The sequence below is a fragment of the Homo sapiens genome, chromosome 4, assembly GCF_000001405.40.
Source record: "Homo sapiens chromosome 4, GRCh38.p14 Primary Assembly".
Taxonomy (NCBI): domain Eukaryota; kingdom Metazoa; phylum Chordata; class Mammalia; order Primates; family Hominidae; genus Homo; species Homo sapiens.
In genome coordinates this window covers 184258050-184285018 of record NC_000004.12, presented here as the reverse complement: position 1 = coordinate 184285018, position 26969 = coordinate 184258050, and the positions used below count along the sequence as shown (strand labels likewise).

The window sequence follows — 26969 nt, the reverse complement described above, 5'->3', positions numbered from 1 at the left end:
CTGTGATTTTCTGTCTTTTTAATAATAGCCATTCTGGCAGGGTAAGATGCTATCTCATTGTGGTTTGGATTTGCATTTCTCTGATGATTAGCAATGTTGAGCATCTTTTCATATACCTGTAGGACATCTGTATGCCTTCTTTTGAAAAAGGTCTATTCCTTTTTTTTTCTTTTTTGCATACTTTTAAAAGTACATTAAGAGGGGATTATTTGTCTTTGTTGTTGTGTTTGAGCTCCTTGTATCGTCTGGATAGTAGTTCCCTGTTGGATGAATAGTTTGCAAATATTATCTCCCATTCTGTTGGTTGTCTGCTCACTCTGTTGATTATTTCTTTTGCTGTGCAGAAGCTCTTTAGTTTAACAAGTCCCATTTGTCTGTTTTCGGTTTTGTTGCCTGTGCTTTTGAGCTTGCAGTCCACAATGTCATTTCATGTGAAATAGTACCGGGGAGAGCTTTCCAACCTTCTCCATGTCAAGGCACATACAAGAAATGACACATTAGTCCAGCCACAGGGGTCAGCGTGGAGGCTCCTGGAGACCCATCCTCCTACCTAGGCCGCAGGAGGACGCCTCTCACACTGCAATCCCCCTGCTCCTGCTTAGGGCAGAGAAGAAACTCGCGGTGTTTTTTATTGGAAGCACCGGAATTACTGGACTTAGGATGTCTGTCCCAAGAAGGGGAGGAGCAGGGGCGGGGACATCCCTGGCAAGGGTGACGTTTGAGGAAAAACGGCAGGCTGATCTGGCCAAGCTGCTGGGCACCCCTGGTCTACCCGGCCCGGGAAGCATCAGGAGCCTGTCAGAGGGGACCTGGTGGCGGGCACCTGGATGGCAGAGGGAGGCGGACAACAGTTCCGGGACAGCGCGCTCCCATCTCCTGCTGTTTTGAGAGCCTCTTCCCCTGCTTCCTGCCCCAGAAAGCCCCATGCCTTCCTCGGGAAGGTCACTCACGGGTAAGCTCAGCATGGCTGTGACGGGTCTGGGTCCGGTGATGCTCAGCTTGGGAGACTCCAGAGAACCCGCACGTGGGGCCTAGTGCCCGCAGACACCCGTGGGGTCGGGGGTACTGTTTGCTCTCCAAGCCACCAGCCAGGTTGTGCACAACGCCAGGACAACTCTTCAGGGCTGAGACACGTGGCTTCCCTGGGCCCAGCACCTGGGCAGCACGTTCCGTGTGTATGCCCTGAAATCACACCAACGCATGCAGCCAACCCCGAGACTCAACCCCAAGGCCAGGACACGGGGCCAGTCCTGGAGCAGCACAACGGGGTGCCCAGCTGTGACCCTGCCTACCCGGAACCCTGAGTCTGGTGGCACTGGAGGCTCAGCATCACAATGATCCTTTCTTGTGTTACCAAAAAAAAAAAAAAAAAAAGTTTAACAAATACAGGCCATTGTTCTTACTTTTTAAAAAAAGGACTGACTGCTTAGGGGACTGCAGCCATTTAGCCCTGCCTGACCTCCAAGAGTGAAGGGGCAGAGTCCCCACCTGTCACCATCTGCAGGACAGCCATGCGCCGCTGCACTCTCTTTGGCTGAGAACCTCCAGCATTGGTTATAGGCCCCACTGTGGACCCAAAGTGAAACTCTGAAAATAGAAATAAAGCAGCTCATGCTCCAGCAAACAAATACTATGATTTCTGTCTACTGAAAGAAATGAGTAATCAACCTCTCAAAAGTCAGAATTCAACTACAGCATGTTCACAAAACCACTCACACTGCCCCCAGATGGGCACAGATGTTGACTCTGCATCTGTTCTAATTTTCCTCATGAACCTGTGCCCACTGGGGTAACAGGAAAAACAAACTGAACTGTGTTTAGCATGAGCTGGTAAACTTAGTCTGTTTGCAATGATAGAAACTACTCCAGCTTAAAACAAACACTCAGCCCCTTAGCAGAGACGTGCAGATGTTCGGATTTGATTGCCCTCTCCGGCTCCATGGCAAGGTGAGGCCTGTGCTCTGGATAGAGTGACCATCACAAATCATCTTCCAAGACGGGCACTTTTTTTTCATTTTTAGAAACAAGTGCCTGGTTTAGAATGCAATGCGTGTAAAAATAATGCAGTGCTGTCCGTGTCCCCAAACCATCCTCAGGTAACCGTGGTTAGCAGTGTCCTTCCAAATATGCTCCCTGCATAGAGGAACCTTGCACACATAGGTGAGCTTTTTCTCATTATTACTTGGAATTACAGCATGCATCTTATTCTATAATATTTATTTTTTAACCACTCAGGTCAGATCAATCCGAGATGTGTTTGAGAGAGAAAGAGGGCACTATTAATAATTATGCCAGTAGAGCAGGTGATGTTTGTTCACCCTAGTTAGAGAGGAGAGGTGTGGCTTAGGAAAACTCATGGCAGAGCAGACAGTGAGGCCCAGTTTGTATCCTGTATTGACATGCCAGTCTGTGCAACAAAGCGGCTGGGTTGGGCCGCTTCCTGCACTGTTGCCCTCTGAGGTGTGACTGGCCTCCTCTGGCCTTTTGGGGTGATGCACTGCAGACCACGGTGGAGTCTGAGGACCCGGAAAGTGTTTTCTGGTTTTGATGACTGATTCACACTAAGGCTTGTTTGAAGCCGTCTGAGATCTCTGTGTGCCAAGGCATCTCAGTATGGCTGTGTGCCCTTCATGTGGCTCGGGGAAACTGTCAGGACTCCAGGGTGCGACATGCAGGCCCCTGCACCCTACAGCCCCGCCTTGGGTTTAACTGTCATCCACTTGCACTGTTTTGGGTGTGGTGCTGAGCTGGAATTCTCTGGGACCAGAAACTTCCCCTTCCTCTGCCCAGAAAAGTGGACAATCAAGGTTCCCAGGCTCACTGATCTGGGTATTTCTAAAGCCTCTCTCTTCCTGCTTGAGAGCTGTTTCTGTCCTCAGAGAAGGGATAAACTGAAATCCCAGATTTTGTCATCCTTGATCTCCCTCTCTTTCCCTTCCTCCTGCAACCTCTCAGTTCCAGAAAATGCAGGCTGTCCATTTCCTCCAAGTCAGAACCTCCTGCTAAGGATGCCACTGAAGGACTGGAGGGATTTTTCTAAACTGATCCGGGCCTATGATGTGGGTCATCTAATTTGGTTTTTGACCTACTAAGAAAACCAGAAAACCCTCTCAATAGCAATCTGCTTTCCAGCTGATTATCTTACTACAGACATAAACAGAAATTCAACGTGATGGTCAGCGTTGAGCAGAGATGCCACGGTGTTGGTGGGTACTGCTTTTCCCCTGAAGCGCTCCACTCCAGTCTGTCAAAGGGCAGCAAGCCTCCAGTAGTTACAGAAATGGTAACATTGCCAAGATCTGCTTCATCCTTTGGCTGTTGAACGGGTGGCTTATGGCCCCTGAGCTCACGACAAGGAAAGAGAGAAAGAAAAGTGAAAAAGAGGGCCCCCACCACCTACCTACCTGCTGCTGTTCCAGCTCATCAAAAACAAAAGTCTAAAACAGTGGCTGGAAAGTACCTTGCATGATCCCTTCACAGAAACAATAGAGAGGAGCAGCTGCACAGGGACCACGGGACACCAGGCAGACATTCTCCCATTGCTTCTCCTGCCTTTAGCATCCTTTTATCTTGCTTCTCCCATAATCCAAGCATCAGATCCCATTTCCCTCTGAATTCTCCTACTTCTCCCAGCACTTTATAAAACCGAGTCCTGTCCCCAGAGCCCCAGGTCAGTGCTCCCGGCACACCCAGCAGGAAACAGCAGGGTGGGGGCCAGGCAGTGGGTGGAAGGGGCACAGGAGTGGGAGAAGGCAGGCCTGGGGCTGAATCTCGGTGCAAATGCGTGAACTGCAACAATTTATTTATTCCGAGTCTCAGTTTCCTTATTTGTAAAATAAGAATATTATCATCTACTTAATGGGCTGTGGGAGTTAAATATGCTCAGGAGTGTGTAACTGATTCTCTGTGAAGAAACCTGTCCTTGTGTGAAGAAGCCAACCATGCTTTTGTGAACAAATGTGCACCTGAAAGAGCCAATCCTTCAAGATAGATCCTGAGCTGCTAACTGGGCCTACGTTTATAACAGAGCCAAGCGGCCCTTTGCTGGCTAGAGGTCACAGATGTACTCTGAGTTCTGGGGAAACCTACACCTATGTTTAACTGTGGACTTTCAGAGCTTGCCTGAACCAACCAATCAGAGCTCCCCCACCTTGGCCAATCAGGGCCTAGCTGTGTCAACCAATCAAAACTCAGCTGCATTGATCAATCAGAACTAAGCAAGTTTGAATCATTTATTTGCATAAACAGACCTGATTTAGAACCTACAAAAGCCAAACCCTCTCTTTGTTCTCTGAAATGCACACCTTCCTTATACAGGAAGACAGTGTCTCCCCAGTTTGCAAACTGTTCACTGTAAGAAAGTGTCTTTCCTCCAAATTCCTTTTCAGAAAACTTTTGTTCAAACTTCAAACTATGTAGCTGCCCACAAGTGCCACAGCTGAGCTCTGGGGACATAGCTATGGCCTTTATTGCTGATTTTTTTTTTCCAGGGCACTGCCCGCACAATTTCAAAAACAGAATTTAATCCATGGGAACAGTTTTTATATCTAATTAAATGTGTTAGAGTTAATTGATGCGAGAAACAACAAATATGTTCAACTGCAAAGAGCTCGGAACCACGAGTTCAAAAGCCAGCTAAAAGCCCTACCCAATCTTATGACCTTGAGCAAGTCATCCAACTTCCTGAATGTTAGTTTCTTTATCTGCAAACACAGGGTCAGAACCAGAGAGTCTCTGAGCACCCCTCAGCTATACATGCCTTGATTTCTAATAACATCTAAGAATGCAGCTGGCTGTTTTTCCTTTTCTAATATTCTCTGGTCATTACTTGGATCACTGACTTTTGAGTCCTTTACTGAATATGAGACTGTAATTCCTGGTCCTCAGTTCCCCAGGTCCCCTAGTCCCTTCCATAGACACAACCCTCCAACTTCCCTTTTCAGTTCATACCTATAAGGAGGGTACGCTAATGAGAGCTGGGCAGACTCAGCTGAAAGATGAGCCCAGAGGCTCCCCATTACTTCAATCCCCTTGCTCTTTTTCTTCTCCTGAAAAGAAGCCATTCATACGCTCCCTGCCTTATACTACAATCATGCCATTTGAGAACGGTTCCAAACAGAGGCTCCTTGGCTCTTCTGACAAATCCATTCAAGACACTCTTTTAAACAGTAACCAGATTCTTGATTCATTAAAGACCCATATAGAAATGTTCCCACTAGTGTCTCCCTGTCACCGTGCCCCTGTCTGTCTTAGAAAGGGCCTCATGTGGCACTGTCTCCAACAGAGCATGCACTGGCTGGATAACTCCAACCCCATCTCCAAAGCTAAGAGGAGCTGAGATCATCAGCCAAGCAGGGTTCCTGAAGCTTCCTGTATGTAACATGAGAGTTGCAACAACAAAAATAATTTTAACAACTGCACTGAAGTGTTTTGCGGGCAGTTAGAAAAAAATGAATAATATAAATCTTGCCATTCAAAGTGAGGTCTAAGAACCCGTGGCATTGGCCATCATCCGAGAGTCTTTGAGGAACACAGAATCTTAGGCCTACTCCAGAATTACTGAATCAAAATCTGCATTTTATCAGAATCTGTAGGAGATTCCAGTGTACATTAACATTTGAAAAGCAGTGATCTAAAATACTGTAAAAGAAACTAGAGGAACTCTGTGTTGAAAAGTCAAGAACTTATGTTGCCAGCTCTCAAGTAAAACAATCTCCAAGAAAGGTATCGTTACATGTGAATTTAGATTCATTTTTTAAAAAGGTTTATTTTATTTTATTTTTCTAGAGACAAGGTCTCACTATGTTGCCCAGGCTGGAGTGTGGTGGCTATTTACAGGTTGGATCTCACTACTTATCAGCACAGAATTCTTATCTGTTCTATTTTAACCTGGGCAGGTTCAACCCTCCTTAGGCTACCTGGTGGTTCCCCACTCCCAGAAGGTCACCATATTGATGCTGAACTTAGTGCAGACACCCAGTGGACATAGCACACTACAGCCCAGAACTCTTGGGCTCAAGCCAACCTTCCTCCCTTAGCCTCCTGAGTAGTTGGGAATACAGGCATGTGCCACCACACCTGGCATACATTCATATACTGTACGATAGAGACAAGTATACAAAGATCCTCTTCTCTTCCTCTTGCCTTTTAATGGTAATGGGAAGAGCTGTAGATATAAAAAAGCTTAGTGTAGGCAAAGAGACGCTAGAAGGTTTCCTTAGGTGGAAAAGAAAAAAATCATAAAATTGGAAAGGAAGAAAGGAAAAAGATGAAAAATGTTGGCAGAGCAGCTTCTGGGATGAATGAAATTTAATAAACCTTTGCTGAGATGGGTTATGACTTTGCTCTCTGCTTTTGGAGTTGATTTTATTTTATTTTTTTTAGATATAATGGCACATGGAAGTGTGTCATAAAGTGGGAGAAAAAGTGCAAGAATTCCTCAAGACCCATATGTAAGGTTTTCTATAATTCACTTTGTATGCTACAATTGTTTGCCCTGCATAGTGCCAGGAAGATATAAAAATGTGAAATGAACAAATATTGTTTAAGAGTTTAAAGATACTTTGGATGTCATGACTCCAATAATATTACCTTACAGATCAACACCTGTGTTAGTCCATTCTCATGCTGCTATGAAGAAATACCTGAGACTGGGTAATTTATAAATAAAAGAGGTTTAATTGACTCACAGTTTCACATGGGTGGGGAGGCCTCAGGAAACTTATAACCATGGTGGAAGGCACTCTTCACAGGCAGCAAGAGAGAGAATGAGTTTGGAGTGAAGGGGGAAGCCTCTTATAAAACCATCAGATCTTGTGAGAACTCACTCATGGTGAGAACAGCATGGGGGAAAATGCCCTCATGATTCAATTATCTCCACCTGGTGCTGCCCTTGACACATGGGTATTATTACAATTCAAGGTGATATTTGGGTGGGGACACAGAGCCAAACCACATCATTCTGCCCCTGGCCCCTCCCAAATCTCATGCCCTCACATTTCACAACACAATCATGCTCTCCCAACAGTCCCTCAAAGTCTTAACTCATTCCAGTATTAACTCAAAAGTCCAAGTCCAAAGTCTCACCTGAGAAAAGGCAACTCTCTTCTGCCTATGAGCCTGTAAAATCAGAGGCAGGTTAGTTACTTCTAAGATACAATGGGAGTACAGGCATTGGGTAAATGGTCCCCTTCCAAATTGGCCCAAACAAAGGGGCTACAGGCTCCATGCAAGTCCAAAATCCTGCAAGGCAGTTATTCAATCTTAATGCTCTGAAATGATCTCCTTTGACTCCATGTCTCACATCTAGGGCACACTGATGCAAGAGGTGGGCTCCCATGGTCTTGGCAGCTTTGACCCTGTGGCTTTGCAGGGTACAGCCCCCTCCTGCCTGCTTTCACAGGCTGGCATTGAGAGTCTGCAGCTTTTCCAGGAGCACAGTGCAAGCTGTCGGTGGATCTACCATTCTGGGGCCTGAAGTATGGTGGCCCAGTAGGCAGCGTCCCACTGGGGACTGTGTGTGGGGGCTCCAACCCCACATTTTCCTTTCACACTGCCCCAGCAGAGGTTCTCCATGAGGGCTCCACCCCTGAAGCAGACTTCTCCCTGGACATCCAGGCATTTCCATACATCCTCGGAAATCTAGTTGGAGGTTCCCAAACCTCAATTCTTGACTTCTATGCACCTGCAGGTCCAACACCATATGGAAGCTGCCAAGGCTTGAAGCAATGGCCTAAGCTGGATCTCGACCCCTTTTAGCCACAGCTGAAACTGGAATGGCTGGGATGCAGGACACCAAGTCCCAAGGCTGCACAGAGCAACAGGTCCCTGGGCCAGGCCCAGGTAACCATTTTCCCCTCCTAGGCCTCCAGGCTTGTGATGGGAGGGGCTGCTGTGAAGTTCTCTGACATGTCCTGGAGACATTTTCCCCATCGTCTTGGTGATTAACATTCAGCTCCTCATTACTTGTGCAAATTTCTGCAGCCTGCTTGAATTTCTTCCCAGGAAATGGGTTTTTCTTTTCTATCACGTCATCAGGCTGAAAATTTTCCAAACTTTTATGCTCTGTTTTTCTTGAACACTTTGTCACTTAGAAATTTCTTTTGCCAGATATCCTAAATCATCTCTCTCAAGTTCAAAGTTCCACAGATCTCTAGGGCAGAGACAAAATGCCACCAGTCTCTTTGCTAAAGCATAGCACGACCTTTATTCCAGTTCCCAACAAGTTCCTCATCTCCATCTGAGACCACCTCAGCCTATACTTCACTGTCCATATCACTATCAGCATTTTGGTCAAAGCCATTCTACAAGTCTCTAGGAAGTTCCAAACTTTCCCGCATCTTCCTGTCTTCTTCTGAGCCCTCTAAGCTATTTCAACCTCTGCCTCTTACCGAGTTCTAAAGTTGCTTCCACATTTTTCCGTACCAGTATAGCAGCACCCCACTCTTGGTACCAATTTACTGTATAAGTCTGTTCTCACACTGCTGTGAAGAAATACCTGATACTGGGTAATTGATAATGAAAAGAGGTTTAATTGACTCACAGTTCCATATGGCTGGGGAGGCCACAGGAAACTTACAATCATGGCAGAAGGCACCTCTTCACAGGGCAGCAGGAGAGAGAATGAGTATACAGCGAAGAGGGAAGCCCTTTGTAAAAGCATCAGATCTCATGAGAACTCACGGTCATGAGATCGGCATGGGGGAAACTGCCCCCATGATTCAATTATCTTCACCTTGTCTCACCCTTGACACGTGGGGATTATTACGATTCAAGGTGAGATTTGGATGGGGACACAGAGACACACAAACTATATCAACACCCTTTAGTCTTGACACTCACAGGTACTTGCCCAAATCCACAGGGAAAAGCTTGGCTCAGTTGCTGGGGTGTGCCATCCACACATTCATCACAAAGTAAAATAATGCCTAACAAAACTGAACACCTGACTCTTTTCCTGAAAACTTTTAAAGCATTAGGCCTATCAAGTGTCATGCACAGCTCAAGAGGAAATGCTATCTGGAAATCCCCCAACTCCCATGGAAATTCCCAGCTGGCTCCCTGTACACTGCAGATACCTGAAGTGGTTTTGAAGACTGGGCAGCTAAGACCTAAGTGAAGAAGAATTCCTCCCCTGCAAGGATGACCAAGAACCCAGCCGCTCTGTTTCCTTCCCGACTGGAGTCCTCTTCTCCACTGGTAGGCACTGACCCCTGCAGAAGCTGCCCCAAGCTTCTGGGACCCAGTAGCACCTTTGACGTGGTGGTCGGTGTTCCCAGTAACATCTCCTTTCTCTGCAGCACCCAGCTCTTAGACTGAAAAGCACAGAGCTTTCCCCACTTCCTTTAATAAACTCAGGAAAGAGTGGGGCTTGGATGGGCTATTTCAGCAATCCGGAACACTTAACAGGCCCAAATACTTTTCTATTTCATGCCTCAGCCCAACTCAGGCAACTCCTATTTTCCTCCTGGAAATGAGAAGTGGACATCCAGGAAGGGCTGTGGAAGAGGCAGAAGTCAGGAGGCTGCGGGTAACTGGGGGCGAGTCGAGTGGTTCTGAGGGCCAGTGTTAAGGTGTAGGCAGCAGAACAGCAGCGAGGGTGGGGTAGGCAGTGGAGTATTAAGAGGGACTGTCACCGAGGGGCAGCTCCACCTGCCCCAGCTGTTGGTCTCAAAAATAAACCAAGCCAGATGCTAGTTAAGTGGTAAAGAAGGATTGTAATATCTATTGCAATAGGGAGAAGGCCCAGCCCAGACTGAACTCCAGTTTGATTTGTGCAGTAGAGACTGGGCGTTTTAAAGGGAGAGTGAGAGAATTGGGCAGGGGTGACCAGGGCTCAGTGGGGTCAGAGAAGTGGAAAACTACAAACAGCAGAGCGGGCTTGGTCCATGAGAAACCCACCTGGGTTTGTTAACAGCCTCCCTCACAGACTGGGGCACAGGGGCCCGATCTCTGGGTGTTGGCTGGAGCAAATGGCAAACTTGTTTGGCAGCCTTGTGTGTCCTTGGGATTGCCTCCCAAGGACACCCAAGGTGGCTGGGGTCACCTAGGGATGCGGCCTTGAGCTATGAGAAGCCATGCTAGTGTTTGTCCAAGTCTTTCTAGGCCAGGGTTGAGGCCTAGTTGAGAAGAGGGCTCAGGGGAGCCTCAGTCGAGTTTGGTCCAGGAGAGAATCTGTCACTGGCCTGAAGTGGTCTCCTTCATACTGAGTGTCCTCAACAGTGGCTTTGATTCTGGGGCCAGGCTGCTAAACACATGGAGCTGATAGTCAGGGCTGTGCTGAGCTGGGAGCCTGACCACATGATTCAGTGTCCTTGGGGTAGGGCTCAGAAGGGTGATCACAGATTTCAGCTCCGACCCAGTATGCACAGATGGTGAAAGGGGCGGCCCACTCTGGAGCCACGGCCACATCCAGGCTTTGGGGTGGAGTTGGGGCTGGCTGTTGGTTCTGCCGAGCCCAGGGGGAAGATAAACCCTTTCCTCTGAGCCTCCATTTCCTCGCTTGCAAAATGAGGACAGGGCCTTTCTCCTGGGGCTGGTGGATCAGAGAGAAGCATTCCAGTAATGTGAGTAGCACTTAATTAGCATTCAGTAAATACTCATTCCTCTCTTCCTTCAGAGGAAAGTTCAGGCAGTGTCTGATTTAATAAACAGGTTAAAGACCAAAATGCCCCCTGTAAGTTGGTTGGTTGTAATTTAGAAATGTATTATATTTAGATTCCCAAGACCACTCATAAACACTCATTTATGCTGTGTGTAACTTAGAAACATGTTATATTTAGATTCCCAAGACCACTCACATTCATTTATGCCAGATATGGACACTTCACCACAGGCTTATAACAAAAAGTACAGAAGAAAAAAACAATCTTTTTGCCAGCTTGTTTCCATGTGCCAGACGTTTGTGAGTGAGGGGCCCGAACTGTGAAGGGTGCCCATGCTGGTGCCTCCTCCCGAGAGTGCAGAAGGCAAGCACCCGAGCTCAGCTCTTGTCGTCCTCACCCGGAGTTCCTGTGAATGTTAAGAGAACACAGCTTAGTGTCAGCTTTGAGTTCACATTTTGACTCCCCTGCTGAGTAATTCTGTGGCATGGGGCAAGTCATTTAACCTATCTAAGCGTCAGTTTCCTCATCTGTGAAATGGGCTAAGAACAGTCACTCCTCAGAGGGTTCTTTCGAGGGTTAAATGAGAAAACTCATGAAAAGTGCATGGTGGAGTATCTGGCCAATCACTAGGCCAAGTGTCCCCTTGGGGCGTTCATCTCTGTGCTGCAAGAGCTTGCTGGCTTGGCGTGGTGGCTCATGCCTGTAATCCCAGCATTTTGGGAGGCTGAGGCAGACCGATTTCTTGAGCCCAGGAGCTCGAGATTAGCCTGGTCGACATGGCGAAACTGCATCTCTGCAAACAATCCAAAAGTTAGCCAGGCATAGTGGTGTGCTCCTGTAGTCCCAGGTACTTAGGAGGCTGAGGTAGGAGGATTGCTTGAGCCTGGGAGGTCAAGGTTGCAATGAGCTGAGATAGATTGCAACACTGCACTCCAGCCTGGGCGACAGAGGGAGACCCTGCCTCAAAAGAAAGAAAGAAAGAAGAGCTTGTGCACAAGTGGTGTTCAGGGAATGTCTGGAGACCTGATCTCAAGTGCTGCCTTGGTGTATGGGCTGCCTCCCGCCTGGAGGCACAGAGCTCAGGAACAGAAGGTGGGAGGGCAGCAGGACTCCCCCAGCCTTCAAGACAGCCTCCTTTACGACAGCCACAGATAGGGATGGGATGGTGGGGTTTCTGCTGAGCAACTTTTATAGACTGAATAGGTGTGAAGCCAGAGGAAACAGAACTCTAGAAAACAACTGGCCTCCCAGTTGTTTCTGGAAACCCAGACGGGAAGCTGCATCAAGCTCTGAGGCTTCCTAGGAGTCAGAACTCTGGTCTTGGCTCACAGTGACTGAGAAGTGAAGGGTAGCCGAAACTGTAGAGTCACAAGGGACACTTTTATTTCATCTCAATGAATGCTTTTTGTTGGAGGAGGGATGAGATTCTAGAACCAAACTGCCCATTGTTGATGCATCTGTGAGGCCAGGAGAACCCACGGGTTTTGACCCGTAACCCTGGCGAGTATTAAATGTGATGATGGTGACTATGTACCCAGGCAGCTAGCCTCCTTATTGATTGATTGACTGACTGATTCATTGATTGATTGATTGATTCATTCATTCATTCACCAAACGTGCTCCTGTGGTATGCTGGACACTGTTCTAGTACTACAGGCACAGCAGGGACCAAAGCAGAAAAACGCCTGCCTGCCTTAGGGGACCAAGGGGACACAGATACGCTCCTGCCCTTTGGAAATAATTCCAGAGTACGGAGTGCAGGAAGGAATCAAGAAGAAGGAGGAAAAAGGACAGTAAAAGAAACATAAAAGCAGGAGGGGAGTGCAAGAAATGAAGACCCCCGGGTCAGAGCCCAGAGGAATCCACCACGTGGCTTGGGTGCTTCTGGTTATTACCATGGTTACCGGCCCTGATGGCCACCCCTGAAGCGGAAAGCCCATTTCTGTTATTTCTGTAACATTCATAGATGACAGTTCCAAAGCCTCTGTGTGGGTTGATTAAAATCTGCTAGTGAACATCCAGTGCTGAGGAAATGACCCAGAAATTCTCAACAGTTGATTTTTTTCTCCAAGACTGGGCATATCTACAAACAATTCAAATGTTTTACACAACGGGTGGTGGGGATTTCATTTGACCCTGTGATGTATTTATCAAAATATGGTTGCAGATTAGAAAGCAAGCCATGTACGTGGGAAAAGAGGGAAGCCAGAGGGTTGAGGGCCTAGGAAAGTCTGAACACGGGCATTGCTGGGTCAGGCCTTGGGGAGGGGAGCTCCCATACTAAGACGCCCAAGTCAGCAGGAAGCCTTGAGCCTGTGGGCACTGGATGGCCACAGTTTTGGGCAGAGCATGATTATGTGCCAAAAAGGTTAACTTACCCCTTTGCCATTTTCCCAGGGACCAGCTGTATCCACCTGACCTCCAAGAGCACTCTCCATGCCACGCACAGGGCACTGAGTGAACACCCACCTCATTTCTCCCAGCATGGAAAGTCATTCCAGGAATTCTGTGGGCAGTGGAGAGGCCCTTCCCCTTCCAGCATGGGAAAGCCAGGCTGGTTGGGAAGCAGCTCAACTCAAGCTGCTGCTGATACAGGTGCCCTCTCCTAGCCCCTCCCTTGTCCCCACCTGCATTTCACCTCAATTTCTATCTGCATATGTGTCAAGTTCTCCCAAATCCAGCAGCCACCATGCCTGGCCTCACCAAGGGCTTGCCTCATCTGAGCTATTTCAGTATAAATATTGAAAAAGAAAAGTATCCTTTTCCACTGATTTCAGCCAAGGCAGTTGAGATTTTTCAGAAGATTGCTCAGTAGAGCAAGAAGGAAATGGGAAGAAAAATTCAAAAGCTTAGACGTGGATGAGCTTACAAAGCATAGGTCTCTCTTACAAGCATCTAAATTCTCCTTCCAGGCTGACTTGGGCTCAGGGCATGGGCCCCAGGTAGTGGGAAACCAGACTAAGCTCTTTGCCTTTTAAAGCAAATTTAGTTGGCACGATTGGACTTCACGTTCTTTCAGAACCTGCTTGGAAAGTTAGAAGAGTGGGATTGGGGTCGTTTCCAGGCCATCCTGCTGCTTTGTGGCTATGCTGTAGTTTTGATCCCCCTGCCCTGGTTCTGTCCACTGGATGAAGACAATGCACTCTACCTGACCTTCTTGTCCTCCTCAGAGCAGTGTCTTATGGTATGCACCCCGCTCCCACACAGAATGAGAGATAGATGGATGGATGGATGGATGGATGGATGGATGGATGGAGAGATGGATGGATGGATGGATGGATGGATGGATGGATAAACAGATGGATTGATGGATAAATAGATAGATCAATACATAGATAGATAGATAGATAGATAGATAGATAGATAGATAGATAATAAACAGATGGATGGATAAATAGATGGGTAGTGGGACAGATGGAAAGATAGATGGATAGATGCGCAGATAGACGGATAAATGGATGGATGGATAGATGGATGGATAGAGGGATATATGGACAGATAGATGAATAAACAGATGGATGGATAGATGATAAATATATGGATGGATAGACAGACAGATAGGTGGATAGAGGGATAGATGGATAGATAGATGGATAAGTGGATAGATAGATAGATAGATAGATAGATAGATAGATAGATAGATGAATACATGGATAAACAGATGAATGGATAAATGGAGAGATGGATGGATGGATAGATAGACAGGTGGATAGAGGGATATCTAGATGGATCGATGGAAAAATTGATGGATGGATAGATAGGTTGATGGATGCAATGGATGGATTAGACAGATAGGAGAAATAGTAGCTGTTTGAATATTCATAATAATAACAACTCGGCAGAGACCCTGGAGTGCATGTAGGAATTGCTGGAGTGGTAAGAGGCCATGGATTTAGCACACAAGGGAAGCAGCAGCCTTCAGCAGGTGTGTGTTCAGGGAAGGAGGTGTGGTTAAGGCCGATCAGCCAGTGTTTGTGGAAGTTTTATTCTGATAGCTTCTGATTTATGATGAAATGATAACCCCTGTCAGGGGCTGGGCTTTGTGCTCGTGGAGACGCTGGTGGTTTGTAGAGAGAGAAGAGGTGAAATCAGAGTGGGAGGGTGACTGGATTAGGGAAGGGGTACAAAAAGTGCCCATCTGAGATTTATGATGATGAATTAAGGGGTGGCCTGCCAACAGGGCTTGGGGATTTCCTCCAGTCCCATTCAGCTGCAGGGTATGTGGAGAGTTGGCTTTAGTGAGGGTTGTGGTTTTGTCTAGAGTGTGACAAAGCCAGGGGGCAAGGGAGTTGATGGTGTACGGGTGGGGGGCGAGGTTACAGTGAATTCCCATGGGGTTAAGAGCTGTGGGAGAGGACAGAGGACAGAGGGCATCAGGTAGGTGGAGGACAGTGTAGAGATGGCAGGAGCTGTGTATTGAAGGACCTCACAGGGTCAAAGGACTATCTGAGTCTGGGTCCTAGAGGGAGTGAATGAAAAAGATAAAAAGTGGAGGCCCCAGAGTGGGCAGATATAATTGAGGTTGTCGGGGGTGGCAGTTATTGATAATGGTTTGATCACAGCTCAGGATATGAGCGTGAGAGTGGCCAAGGCAGGGAAGGGGGCATGGTCACTAGAGAAATAAATTCACAAACTGAGGGGACTGGTTCGGAAGAATCAACTAAATCAGTGGTTGGCAAACTGTGGCGCACTGGCCAAACCCAGCCTGCCACCTGTTTTGAAAATAACAGAGAATACAGACATGCCCACTCATTTGTGTATTTCCTATGATTGCTTCCATGCTACAGTGGCAGTGTCAATGCCAAAAATATTTATTATCTGACCCTTTATAGACAAAGTTCCCCAACTCCTGACCTAAGCGGATATTGCACTTACCATTGTTAGTGGGTTTAGGTGAACAAACAACATTCTACAACAAAAAATTTTAACTAACGTAATTCCTTATAATAAATACTCCTGGTGTAATGGCTATAGGCCAGCTGCCTTTGAAATTATGAAAACAAACTTTTCAACATACAGGAAAGCTCTTTGCCCTGCTTTGTATGCAGATATTTTGTTCAGCTTTGTGAGAACAAGAAACAGAGTAAGTATCAACTTAGCTTGAGTTATATGCTAACAGTTTTGTAAATAGTCACTAAACATTCCCCTATTTTACTATGAGACATAGGAGCTGCCTGTTCTATCTTCTGCGGCTACCTGTGTATCACCTAAAGCTGAATAAAGGGATAACCCGCTTTTAATTCTCGGATCAATATTGGTATGCGATCCGGTCCAACTGCGTCAGTACTGGACCTAATTAAATACTTTTGGAGTAATGTGTAAATGTTTTATCCTTCTTTCAGAGAACCTCAGCTCCACTTGCAAAACAGTCAGGAACGTGCAGCTATTTAGAGAGACCTTCTCAGACCTTTTTTATTTAAGTAGGTCCCCCTGCTGTTCTCAAACCATCACCCCACTCATTTACTCCATAGCAATTATGCAGCTATGCGAAACAAACCAAGTATCTTCACTTACTATCAAAATTTTTCATTCATATTTCCAATTTTGTAGGTATTCCAGATTTTTGATACAATTCTTATTAGTAGTATGTTTTTACACTGTATACCTTTTTTTGGTATTATTTACATTTCATTTGCTTAAAGTCTCTTCAGAAAACTTTTTTGACTTACTTCTATAACTAAATCTAAGATATTCTTACTGACTCCTTTTATGTCATAACTTTGTTCTGGAGTCACCCTTGTTAGATAGAGTTGGGTAAGGACATGTAGATGGTACATTTTCTTAGTTCTTGTAGATGTGACAATATCTTTTTGTTGCTTGCTCACATGAATAACAAGATCGGCTTGCTGTAGAATTCATGAGTCATACTTAAGCTTCAAAATACAGACACAGTTCCACTGTCTCCTGGTAATTGCCACACTGACTTTGCATTTTTCTCTACAAGTACGTTAAAATTGTTTTTTGATTATTCATTTAGGAAATTCAAGCGTTTCTGGAGGAAATAGTCATACTTTGGATTCTAATTTTCCTTGGCAAAGGGTGGACACTTTTAGACGCAGGTGCTCATTTCTGGGAACTGCATGTAAATTTCTGACTGTTGTTTTTCTTCAGTTACTCTGGTTTCTTTTTCAGAAATGCCAATCTGGTTCACAAGGCAGCTCTGCGTTCTCTGCCGCCTTCTTTCTCACCACTGTCATCTCTGTTCCTGTTTCCCGGTGTGCTGGGGACTCTCTGGTTTGCCCTCGGCATCGTAGTTCTGTTTTCTGCGCCTGCAGTTCTGCCTTCGCTGCCTGTAATGAGGTTTCGGTTTCGCTATGGCGTTGTGAGCCTCTCTGACCATCTTTCGTGGTCCTCTGCCATGCTGCTCAAGCCAGAAACCCAAATCACGCCCGATGCCTTGCTGCTCCTTATGCCTTCCTCTCGTCCATCCACGGCTGAGGTTGCTTCAACCTCTAGAATATTTCTCTCAAGGTCATTTTGTCTCCATCTTTACTGTCATCACTTCAGTTCACGGGGCCACCATCTCACCCTTCTTTTTGCCGCCCCCCCCCATTGCTCCTCCTAGTCTGTTCTCTATGCTGTAGCTGGAGTTATTGATGTTTATGCAGACATTTAAACATGTGTATGTACAGTTGACCCTCAAACAACATGGGTTTGAACTACGCAGGTCCACCTACACATGGATATTCTTCTGCCTCTACCACCCCGGAGACCCCAAGACCCAGCCCTCCTTCTCCTCCTCCTCCTCCTTAAATTTTCTCCATAACATTTCTTTTTCTTTGGCTTACTTTATTGTAAGAATACAGCATATAATGCATATAACACACAAACTATGAAGTAATCAACTGTTTATGTTATCAGTAAGGCTTTCAATCAACAGAGTACCTGAGGCTTTTGGTCAACAAGTTACATTTAGGGAAGTCAAAAATTATGGGTGAATTTTCAACTGCCGGGTGGGGGTTGGCACCTGTTCAAGGGTCAACTGTGTGCATGTGTATGTGTGTACAGATGTATACATGTGCATACACACACACATATACATACTGAATACACACACACTCACACTCTCAGTGGCTTTCTTTTGTACTAAGAATTCAAAGCACTTTTCCCAGCTGTGAAGCTTCTGCATGAGCTGACACTGCCTATGTCCCCAAATTCAGCTGTGCCATTTACCAGGCACATGGGTCTTTTTTCAGTTCTTCAGGCATGTGGAGCTCTTTCTCACCTTAAAGCAATTTGCTTCCTCTGCCAGGAATATACATGACTTGCTTTCCATATCTGGCTCAGATGAAATACTACAGAAGCCTTTCCTGCCTATTTTATCTGAGTAGGTACTACCTGCCCCCAATCAGCCCCTGGTTTGATTCATTACTAGCAATTATCATTATGAATTATTTATTAGTGCATTGTCTGTGAACCTCACCAAAGTGTAAGCTGCCTCAAAGGTGGCATCTTGTCCATTCTACCCATGTCTGGATTCTCCAGCCCAGCCCAGTGCGTGCCTCATAATGGGTTCTCTTTTTTTTTTTTTTTTGAGACAGAGTCTCGCTCTGTTGCCCAGGCTGGAGTGCAGTGGTGTGATCTCGGCTCACTGCAAGCTCCAACTCCTGGGTTCAAGTGATTCTTGTGTTCAGCCTCCCAAGTAGCTGGGACTACAGGCATGTGCCACCGCGCCCAGCTAATTTTTATATTTTTAGTAGAGACGGCATTTCACCATGTTGGCCAGGCTGGTCTCGAACTCCTGACCTCAAGTGATCCACCTGCCTTGGCCCCCCAAAGTGCTGGGATTACAGGTGTGAGCCACTGGGCCAGGCCTTCATAATGGGTTCTTAATAAACATTTGTTAAAAGCATTGGTTCATCACATATTAGTAATTTTCATCTTTACTTATTCCTTATGATTTTTTGTTTGTTTAATATAGGTTATACCTTTTGATATCCTATAGAGGAGTCCAGCGTGTTGGATCTCTTGGGTCCTCCTGTAGATTATTTTTAGAGTCTTCTAAAGTCTTCTAAATCATTGAGATGAAGTCTCTTTCCTATTTTCTGTAGCTTTACAAAAAACTACCTCCCAGACCCCGCCCCGCCCCATAGAGTTTTTCCTCCCTTATTTACTCATCCTTAAAGGAAGTGACATCTGTAGAGAGCCAGTGCTTGTTAAGAGCGAGGGTGAGCTCATCATCGAGGTCCGGTCCTCCTGTGTGGAGTCCTATCCTGGTGCTCTCGGGGTAGGACAGGTGGGCAGTGCCTGCTCCCAGCCTGTTCCTGATTCCTCACAGTTGCCTACGGAAGCTCTATTTCCCCAAACTTCTAACTTTTCCTGCCTTATCTGATTGTTCTCTGGTATTGTATTCTGAGTCCAAGGAGGGCACGAGAAACTAGTTTCTAACATGCTGCTAAGCGTGTTTCTTTCCTACTCTTCTCTTACTAAGACTGCTTTACTCGTGCGCATTGTTTTTCCTAAAATGCGATGAGCCAGCAGCAGTTTCTTCTACTTTCCGCACAGGTGATTTTTCTTTGCTTGCTTTTTAAGCTCCTTTCTCTGAATGAATATAGATTAAAAGAGGGATGGGACGAGGGGTGGACAGCACTAAGGGTAACTGCATAGCAGCAAGAATGACTCACGTCTGTGTTGCTGGTAGTTTCTGAGTTCAGGTCCTGGGTGCTGGGAGGAGACAGCTGCCTGCAGAGTGGTGAGAAATTCTTCCAATCTTTTTTAGATGCTTCCCTTTTCTGAAGTAAAGCCTGAATATGCCATTAAGAGAAGCTGTGGTAGGTTTTCCTCCCACCTAGTTCCATCTGCCGTGTGGTTAATGAAACATCTTTCCATATTTTCCATGTGGTTATTCATCAAGCCTAGTTTTGGGGATGGTGTGAGTTTTGTTTTGTTTTGTTTTGTTTTCTGGAGGGTGAGAAAAGTTGCATTTTAGGGTTGCTGATAAGATCTAATTAAAACCCATTTTTAAAATATTAGACACTGAGAGAATTTTCCTCAGAATAGCATAATAATGGCCATTAAATATGTGCTTCCCCCACCCTTAATCAGCTCTATACTAGGAATTAGCACTAAAAATATTAGAAGAGAGATGTTATATTTACATATTTGGTTGAGACTAAAGAACTTCTTCCTCTTAGCTGCAATAGACTCTTATTTTACTCTGGCTTTCTCTCCCAATTAAGCTAGGAACAATAACTATTGTCTATTTCCCTTCAATTTCAATCCACCGTTTCTTTTTTATTTTCAGCTATACGTGAACAGATATGGGCTAGGGAAACATAAAAATTAAATAACTTGAGTGGGTCAATAAAAAGGTTATTCTGTTTCTTTCAGGGTTTTTGAGGATTATAATGAATAAAACAGAACCAGAGAAGTTACGAAGCATGTGTTTATCACTCAGCAATAGAGAATTTTAAACAAGTACTTTAAATCATTATTATATATAAAATACATTTATTATATTACTGTACATATAAATATAATAATATATTTAATAGGTGTTTTAAATATAATTTGAGCTTTCAAGCATGTGTTTATCACTCAACAGAAAGAATTTTAAATATATAATGTAAACAATGCTATATAAATACAATAAATATGTATTTTATATACCTAAAAATATTTAAATATGTACTATATATAATTTTATATTAAAACATTAAAAATGTTTTATATTCTATTTATATGGTGTATATTAAATATGTACTGTATATGTTTAAAATATATTTAAAATTCTGTTGCTGATAATACACATTTTTTAACTTGTGTTTTTGTTTTAAGTATACATACATATATACATGATGTATTATCATATGTATATATATGTCACACATGTATGTATTTCTCCATTGTACCGTATTTACTTTTAAAACAATAATCTAGGGACAAAAATTGAAAGCTTTAGCTCCTAGTGACTACAAGCTGTAGACTGTAGGTTGGCACAAAATCTGAATGGGAGCCAGTGGATTTGGTGAGCAAATCCTTGCCACAAGCCCTTTGATGTTCTAAAGCTGAAGCCATTTCAGCTGAAAGCCGGTTGGGGCGCGGGGATTAGGACTGTAGTTTCTAGATTTTGGAAACAGCGCGCCCCCTTGTGGCCATTCACATGCTGACTTCTAAAATTGAGTTCTGAGAGCTCTTCCGGCTTGAGGAGCATCTCTCCCAGTTTGTTTTCTTTCTGCTTTTATACTGTGGCCCTGTCTTTGAGGAAGATTTCAGTCCCCGCTCGCCCCCTCGGTCAAGAAGCCTTGTTTATTGTTATTAGATATCGATGATGTTGACGGACCCTACGTGGAGGGTCTGTGATCAGACAGAAGGGTGATGGGTCAGGACTCACTTCTGCTGCGTTTGACGTCATGCCAGGGTTGGAGGCCAGTAGTGGGGAAGTCACCGGGCTAAGACTCCCAGGACACCAGGTTTGGGTCCCGGCTGTATCATTAACTGGTAGAGTTATTTCCGGTCCAGGGGTCAAAGCCGTAATTTATGTAGCCAAAGGCCTCAAAGATGATTGCTCTCCAGGACGCCTTCCCATTCTCAGAGTCTAGCTCTAGAGTATTTGGGAAGCGGGGTATGTTAGACCCTGGCTTCTGCCATTTTTCCTGGGAGCTTATTCCACAGCCTGGCCTTCTGCGAGTTCAATCATGTGGTTGCCTGGGAGCCTAGTGAGAAGAAAATCCAAGCCCAAGTCCACTTGGAGAACTCCAGCATCATTTTAGTGGGAAGGTGCCATGTCCTCTACATAGGGGCTGGCGGGATGGCAGCTTGTACTGGCGGAAGGGTTCTTGGAAGAGATCCCCAAGGGACACACATTCCTTAAAATGTGACAGGCACAACAAGGGACTCCATTTTAAATCGATCAGATTAAAGATTGTTTTACATTGTGCTCAATGCATGCAGGGTTTGGTTAGATGGGCAAGTTGATGGGAGGTAAACAGGTTGATTTTTGTGTGGGCAGTTTGAAAATATCAAGAGCTTTGAAAATGATGGTTACTTTTTTCTTGAAATTTCCATCACAGAGGCAGAATGTGAGCAAAGATGACTATACAGAGACATTTATTCTGGCTTCCAGTCTGTGGTTAGAAAAACTGGAAGCAACCTAAATGCTTAGCTTTAGGGAAGAGGCTTAAGATGGTGGTAACCAAGGGTTGCTTTTTTTGTTGTTGTTTTGCCATGGATGGAGCCTTTCTTCAGGTGCACTGTTATGTGAAACTCTAATGATGTACAAGGGGATTGATTCAAGTTGGTTGGTAGTGGGGGGTGGTTTCTGTTGCAGCATCTCACCCAGACTGCATGACCCAGCCAGTCCTCAGGCTCCCCAGTGGCAGCTCATGAGGCACTTCCATGGCAAACATACCCCATGACTCAGACAACTGTGGGATGTCAGTATCAGCCTTTCCTTCTGACTGGTGGAAATTTGCACAGCTCTCTCCCTAATTCTTCTGACTTTTCTGTACTTGCCAAATTTTTCATTATGAATATATTACTTATTGCAATAAAATATCTAAGATGTTAAAAATGATGTCAGTTTATTATTTTAGAATTAGAAGTATAATTGTCACAGAAACCACAAAACTTGGGTCAGCCTGGCCAACATATTCTTTCCTTTTTGGCAGATCTTCAGGCTCGTGTGGAAAAACCGATAAAATAGAAAAAGCAATCGGAAGAATATAAAAATCACTGATAATCCCGCCACCTAGAGAAAACTACTGTTAGTATTTTGAGTGTATTTCCCTCCAGCTTTTTTCTATATATGTGTATGTATTTATAATATATAAATAATATACTATATATTAATCAAATACTATATATAATAAATACATTATATATCTTACATAGAACACATTTTATTTATTGTATTATAAACACAGTTTTGTGTCCTGTTTATTTTTGTAAACGTTATATTGTATAGTCCCTAGATATTACCATTTGAAAACATGACATTTAATGGTTTCCTAATATTTAAATCTATTGACAAACATAATTTTATAACCAATATTTCTTCTATAACGGATAGCACAGGATGAACATACCTGTACGTAAATCTTGTCTATATTCGTACTTTTGCCAGTCGCAGTTTCCAAGAACCTATTCATGATGTTAGGTGAGGACTTACTGTACTTGAAAAAAAACCTCCCCAAAAGTAGGTAAGAGACTTTCTTGTAGTCATTTCTCTTGTAGTCATTTGATTGATTAGAAATATATGTAAAATATGGCTTGTTCATCTATTTAGACAATAATTACAAACATACCAAATTAATTTACATTTAAATGTTTTTCATTCGTTTCAAATTGAGCTATGATCTGTGGAATGTCAAGGCGTCTTTTTGCTTTTATTGGCTTGTTATGGACCATCAATATTATGTTGTTAATTAAAGGAAATAACTGGGCTAGGTGTGGTGGCTCACGCCTGTAATCCCAGCACTTTGGGAGGCTGAGGCGGGCAGATCACTTGTGGACAGGAGTTCCAGACCGGCCTGGCCAACATGGTGAAACCCCATCTCTACTAAAAATACAAAAATTAGCCAGGTGTGGTGGCGCACGCCTGTAATCCCAGCTACTTGGGAGGCCAAGGCACGAGAATCAGTTGAACCCAGGAAGCAGAGGCTGCAGTGAGCTGAGATGGTGCTGCTGCACCCAGCACTGGTGACAGAGCAAGACTCCATCTCAAAAAAAAAGTAACTGGTCCTAAGTTTTCTGTGAGCAGCTGTAGTCAAGCAAAGACTGAAAACATTCCATTTTGGAAGGAGAATTAAGATAAAAGCAAGCAAGCAAACGCCCCCTTCCCACCATCCACCCAAATGTATGCAATCTTTTGCTTCACATTTTTGTGTAATGCATGGTGTTTTCAGAATCCTCCTCAGAATCTTGCCTCTCCTATTGCTTTGTGTTATTGAACGCGGACTTGTGCAAGCAGAAGCTCTGCACCTCTTCCTCTGCAGAAGAGGAAAGGAGCTGGGTCCTTTCCTCTTACACACCGGGGCACCTCCTTATTGCCTCACCAACCAGTTTGTTTTACAACTTGCAGGAGAGTATTATTACATCTGAGCACTCAGAAATTAGATGCTGACACTGAGTATTGATTTACATAAAAATCTACATATTTGTGGTTTTTCGAGAGCTACTCACTTGGAACTTTACAAGGTCAGGCATCCCCTGAGCCTAGGACCATGCCTGATACAAAGGGCGTGCTCAACAAAAAGTTGCTGAATTAAAAATCATCTTGGAATGTAAAGGTGACTAGCATTATGGAAATAGTTTATATTGACATGATTATTATTATTTACTTTATTTTTTTTTATTTAGGTGCTCACTCTGTCTCCCAGGCTGTAGTGCAGTGGCGTGATCTCAGCTCATTGCAACCCCCGCCTCCCGGGCTCAAGCAATTATCTCCCTCAGCCTCCCAAGTAGTTGGGTTTGCAGACACGTGCCACCACGCCCGGCTAATTTTTGTATTTTTAGTAGAGACAGGGTGTCACCATGTTGGCCAAGCTGGTCTCGAACTCCTGACCTCAAGTGAACTGCCTGCCTTGGCCTCCCAAAGTGCTGGCATGAGCCCCCGTGTCTGGCCTATGTTGACATTACTCATCCTCCTAAAATAATAATAAAATAACTGGAAAAAATAGCTTGGAGAAAATTAAGCTTTTTGTCTGGAATTTTGGAGAATTTCTTTTTTTTAACCGCCTTAAGTGTTTGTATCTTTTCTTTGTCCTAATCACGAACAGGAAATTTCAAAGCATAACAAAGACCCAATTCTTGCAGCTCTGGTGTGTGGCTTTGGTGGGAATTTCAGCAGCGGTTCTGTTGATTGTCCTGACTGATGCCCCCACTTTTGAACACTGGTAAATTTAAACAGTGTAAATTGCATTTGCTGTTTACAAGGATTCTCTCATGCATATTTTCTCATTCAATTTTTAATTAGCTACAACTTGATTGCTACTTAACGCATAATTGCATGCTTTAAGTATATGTGTCCTTGTTATTTCCATTTTATAGCCAAAACTTGGACATGAAAATTTAGAGATTGAATAGCTTACTCACTCAAATGTTCAAGTTAGCAGTCGAAACCCCTATTCTCTGATCATTTTCCCTGCACCGTGAGGTTTCTAAAAATGTGAAATAAACTTGGTTTTATACGTAGAGCCAGACTCTTCAGATTCTTTCCAAGTACAGGAAGTTGTGAGAACGTCTTCTCCCTGGCTTTAAGAAGGTGAGAGGCTGCAGCCCTTAGAGAGTCCACGTGGCTCCCAGGGGCAGCCCCTCCTATGCTGTCCTTCAGTGGCCCCGTCTGTTGACCCGTGAGGAGCGGTTTACAAGTCTGCAAGCACAGGTTACACAGAGCCCAGGTCACAGACAGGATGCCAGGCTCCCACCCCATAGCCTTTTCTTCCCCCCACTCTCCCCTTGACTGGTGCCTTAAGAATACAGTGTCACAGTCACCAACACTGCAGTTACAGGGAGTAGATTCGAGCTTCTAAAAGTAGGGTGAGCCAATGGTTTATTGGCAGAAATAGGACCCTCTTACAGCAGTGTGGTTGTCCTGGCTGCTCATGGCAATGCACAATGAGCTGATCACTCAATTTTCTGCAGCCAGGTATGAAGCGCATCCATTATTAAATAATGCACACTGAGACGATGCTGTGATTCCTGCAACTCTATGAAGGCAGCATGATTGTAGTGAGTAGCGCTGCAGCTGAAAGAGGTTTCTGTTTAATGAAAATGATTTTCATGAGGATGAGAAATTGTTTAACGTTAGCGCACATATCAGATTTAGCAACAATAAACTTATTGGGAAAAGAATTAGCAGATTGGAATGCATCTCCATTTGACAAATCATGGTTGAATTACAACCACAAGTTGACTAAGAATACAAGGTTTTAGCAAAAATCAACCAAAAATTTTCACAGAATTGTATTCTATGAGAATCGATGGCTATGTGAAATTTACATTAAAGAAAAGCATATATTTTATTATTGATTGTAAATCATGTATTACACAGCCTTGATCTCAAATATGTGTATGTATGTGTGTATATATTGTCATAGTCCCTTTAGACTGCTATTACAAAATACCATAAACTGCATGGGCTAGAAACAACAGAAACGTGTTTCTCACGGTTCGAGAGGCTGGGAAGCAAGCCCAGGATCAGGGCACTAGCAGATTCTCTGTCTCATGAGGGCCTGTTTCCTGGTGCATACATGGTGTCTTTTCTCTGTGTCCTCACATGGCAGAAGGGGCAAGGGAGTCTCTGGGATCTCCTTTATAAGGGCATTAATCTCATTCCTGAAAGCCCACCTTCATTGACCTAATCACCTCCCCAAGGCCTCATCTCCTAACTTTGGGGGTCAGGATTTCAACATGTGAATTTTGGGGGACAGAAACATTCAGTTCATTGCATATACATACACATATATTCACATATATTCACACACACATACTGTATGTATAGATATAGTGTATATATAGTATATACATACTATATGTGTATGCATATATACATAATACAATACATATTGCATATATGTATACATAGACATATATTCACACACATTGTATGTATATATATGGTATATACATACTACATGTATATGCATATATGCATAAGACAATAATATATACTGCATATTGTATATGTATATGCAATATGTATTATTTTATTATGCATATGTGTGTGTATATATGTATTTGAAACCCTATTTTATACATTCACCAGCACACCACTGCTTTTGTGAATGAAAGGGGTGCCATTATCACATATGTCAAAATACCGGGTGAAATCAGGACAGTCCCAGGCAATCCAAGAACCTGTGGTCCTCACCAAACTTTCCAGGTCCAGTCCAGCACACAGTCTCCCTCTGGGCTGCCTTTTTCTTACAGCTCCCTCCCCCACCAGAGACCCTGCACAATCCCTCCAAAAAGGCTCTTTCTCGCTGAGTCCCTTTGCCACAGGGAGTCGCAGGAGCATTAAGTGACCTCCTGAGCAACTGTCTTCATCCTGCTTCATCCCTTTCCCAGGCCCTTCATGGAAGCACCATTTCTGGCATTTATGAGCTCTGAGGCTATAGAAGCATCTCATAAAGTTTGTGGGTCTTAATTTTCTTACTGCAAAACGGGACCAATAGCACCTACCATGCAAGGCTGCTGCAAGGATTAGAAATAGCACGTGTAAAGTGCTTTCTATGTGCTTGGCACAAGATACGTGCTCAATGAATGGCACTGTTTTTGCTATCATTACTGCTCCTGCCGCTACTTTGAGTCTCCCCTGGGGCTCTGATGGTTTCGACTCCTTTCACCCACTCTAAAGCTGAGGGTTTCTCCACCCCTTCCCGTGCCCAGTCCAGACTTGTGGGGTGGTGGTGACAGTGAGGGGTG

At 44.5% G+C, this 26969-nt stretch overlaps 2 long non-coding RNA genes and 1 pseudogene across 10 annotated transcripts in view, besides 16 other annotated features; 1 reads left to right on the top strand and 2 right to left on the bottom strand.

The window, feature by feature from the left end:
* LOC105377582 (uncharacterized) overlaps positions 1 to 22390 on the top strand; it is a 30984-nt gene extending 8594 nt beyond the window's left edge. The window contains exons 2-6 of one of the 8 annotated variants that reach the window (XR_939552.3): positions 6385 to 6654; positions 7691 to 7842; positions 8973 to 9198; positions 19935 to 20021; positions 22214 to 22390. This is a non-coding gene — a long non-coding RNA (uncharacterized LOC105377582). Of the gene's footprint in view, positions 1 to 6384; positions 6655 to 7690; positions 7843 to 8972; positions 9199 to 13001; positions 13349 to 19934; positions 20022 to 22213 lie in introns of those variants that run through there. The other 7 variants (XR_939548.3, XR_939551.3, XR_939550.2 and 4 more) reach the window with 7 other exon arrangements.
* Positions 544 to 633: an enhancer, noted in NCBI's record as "active region_22202". NCBI's record gives its function as "activates an Ori minimal core promoter by ATAC-STARR-seq in GM12878 lymphoblastoid cells {active_cell/tissue: GM12878}" and the evidence as "EXISTENCE:reporter gene assay evidence [ECO:0000049][PMID:35858748]".
* Positions 1144 to 1193: an enhancer, noted in NCBI's record as "active region_22201". NCBI's record gives its function as "activates an Ori minimal core promoter by ATAC-STARR-seq in GM12878 lymphoblastoid cells {active_cell/tissue: GM12878}" and the evidence as "EXISTENCE:reporter gene assay evidence [ECO:0000049][PMID:35858748]".
* Positions 1224 to 1343: an enhancer, noted in NCBI's record as "active region_22200". NCBI's record gives its function as "activates an Ori minimal core promoter by ATAC-STARR-seq in GM12878 lymphoblastoid cells {active_cell/tissue: GM12878}" and the evidence as "EXISTENCE:reporter gene assay evidence [ECO:0000049][PMID:35858748]".
* Positions 1484 to 1743: an enhancer, noted in NCBI's record as "active region_22199". NCBI's record gives its function as "activates an Ori minimal core promoter by ATAC-STARR-seq in GM12878 lymphoblastoid cells {active_cell/tissue: GM12878}" and the evidence as "EXISTENCE:reporter gene assay evidence [ECO:0000049][PMID:35858748]".
* Positions 2144 to 2193: an enhancer, noted in NCBI's record as "active region_22198". NCBI's record gives its function as "activates an Ori minimal core promoter by ATAC-STARR-seq in GM12878 lymphoblastoid cells {active_cell/tissue: GM12878}" and the evidence as "EXISTENCE:reporter gene assay evidence [ECO:0000049][PMID:35858748]".
* Positions 3144 to 3293: an enhancer, noted in NCBI's record as "active region_22197". NCBI's record gives its function as "activates an Ori minimal core promoter by ATAC-STARR-seq in GM12878 lymphoblastoid cells {active_cell/tissue: GM12878}" and the evidence as "EXISTENCE:reporter gene assay evidence [ECO:0000049][PMID:35858748]".
* Positions 3314 to 3383: an enhancer, noted in NCBI's record as "active region_22196". NCBI's record gives its function as "activates an Ori minimal core promoter by ATAC-STARR-seq in GM12878 lymphoblastoid cells {active_cell/tissue: GM12878}" and the evidence as "EXISTENCE:reporter gene assay evidence [ECO:0000049][PMID:35858748]".
* Positions 3424 to 3553: an enhancer, noted in NCBI's record as "active region_22195". NCBI's record gives its function as "activates an Ori minimal core promoter by ATAC-STARR-seq in GM12878 lymphoblastoid cells {active_cell/tissue: GM12878}" and the evidence as "EXISTENCE:reporter gene assay evidence [ECO:0000049][PMID:35858748]".
* On the bottom strand, positions 5786 to 6083 carry RN7SL28P (RNA, 7SL, cytoplasmic 28, pseudogene; annotated as a pseudogene).
* Positions 8620 to 9819: an enhancer, noted in NCBI's record as "P300/CBP strongly-dependent group 1 enhancer chr4:185196353-185197552 (GRCh37/hg19 assembly coordinates)". NCBI's record gives its function as "activates an origin of replication core promoter dependent on BRD2, BRD4, P300/CBP, MED14 and CDK7 cofactors, with strong dependence on P300/CBP, by STARR-seq in HCT116 cells {active_cell/tissue: HCT116}" and the evidence as "EXISTENCE:reporter gene assay evidence [ECO:0000049][PMID:35650434]".
* Positions 10757 to 10926: an enhancer, noted in NCBI's record as "active region_22194". NCBI's record gives its function as "activates an Ori minimal core promoter by ATAC-STARR-seq in GM12878 lymphoblastoid cells {active_cell/tissue: GM12878}" and the evidence as "EXISTENCE:reporter gene assay evidence [ECO:0000049][PMID:35858748]".
* Positions 10757 to 19373, bottom strand: LOC105377584 (uncharacterized). 2 transcript variants are annotated; one of them, XR_007058414.1, is made up of 2 exons: positions 19229 to 19373; positions 10757 to 11010 (listed from the first exon to the last, which is right to left on the bottom strand). It is a non-coding gene; the product is annotated as an uncharacterized LOC105377584 (long non-coding RNA). The 2 variants fall into 2 exon arrangements; XR_939557.3 differs by lacking the exon at positions 19229 to 19373 and adding an exon at positions 18533 to 19041.
* Positions 11217 to 11266: an enhancer, noted in NCBI's record as "active region_22193". NCBI's record gives its function as "activates an Ori minimal core promoter by ATAC-STARR-seq in GM12878 lymphoblastoid cells {active_cell/tissue: GM12878}" and the evidence as "EXISTENCE:reporter gene assay evidence [ECO:0000049][PMID:35858748]".
* Positions 15922 to 17121: an enhancer, noted in NCBI's record as "CDK7 strongly-dependent group 2 enhancer chr4:185189051-185190250 (GRCh37/hg19 assembly coordinates)". NCBI's record gives its function as "activates an origin of replication core promoter dependent on BRD2, BRD4, P300/CBP, MED14 and CDK7 cofactors, with strong dependence on CDK7, by STARR-seq in HCT116 cells {active_cell/tissue: HCT116}" and the evidence as "EXISTENCE:reporter gene assay evidence [ECO:0000049][PMID:35650434]".
* Positions 15922 to 17216: a biological region, named in NCBI's record as "CDK7 strongly-dependent group 2 enhancer GRCh37_chr4:185189051-185190250".
* Positions 16727 to 17216: an enhancer, noted in NCBI's record as "active region_22192". NCBI's record gives its function as "activates an Ori minimal core promoter by ATAC-STARR-seq in GM12878 lymphoblastoid cells {active_cell/tissue: GM12878}" and the evidence as "EXISTENCE:reporter gene assay evidence [ECO:0000049][PMID:35858748]".
* Positions 19117 to 19196: an enhancer, noted in NCBI's record as "active region_22191". NCBI's record gives its function as "activates an Ori minimal core promoter by ATAC-STARR-seq in GM12878 lymphoblastoid cells {active_cell/tissue: GM12878}" and the evidence as "EXISTENCE:reporter gene assay evidence [ECO:0000049][PMID:35858748]".
* Positions 20375 to 20444: an enhancer, noted in NCBI's record as "active region_22190". NCBI's record gives its function as "activates an Ori minimal core promoter by ATAC-STARR-seq in GM12878 lymphoblastoid cells {active_cell/tissue: GM12878}" and the evidence as "EXISTENCE:reporter gene assay evidence [ECO:0000049][PMID:35858748]".
* Positions 22391 to 26969: the final 4579 nt, after the last annotated feature.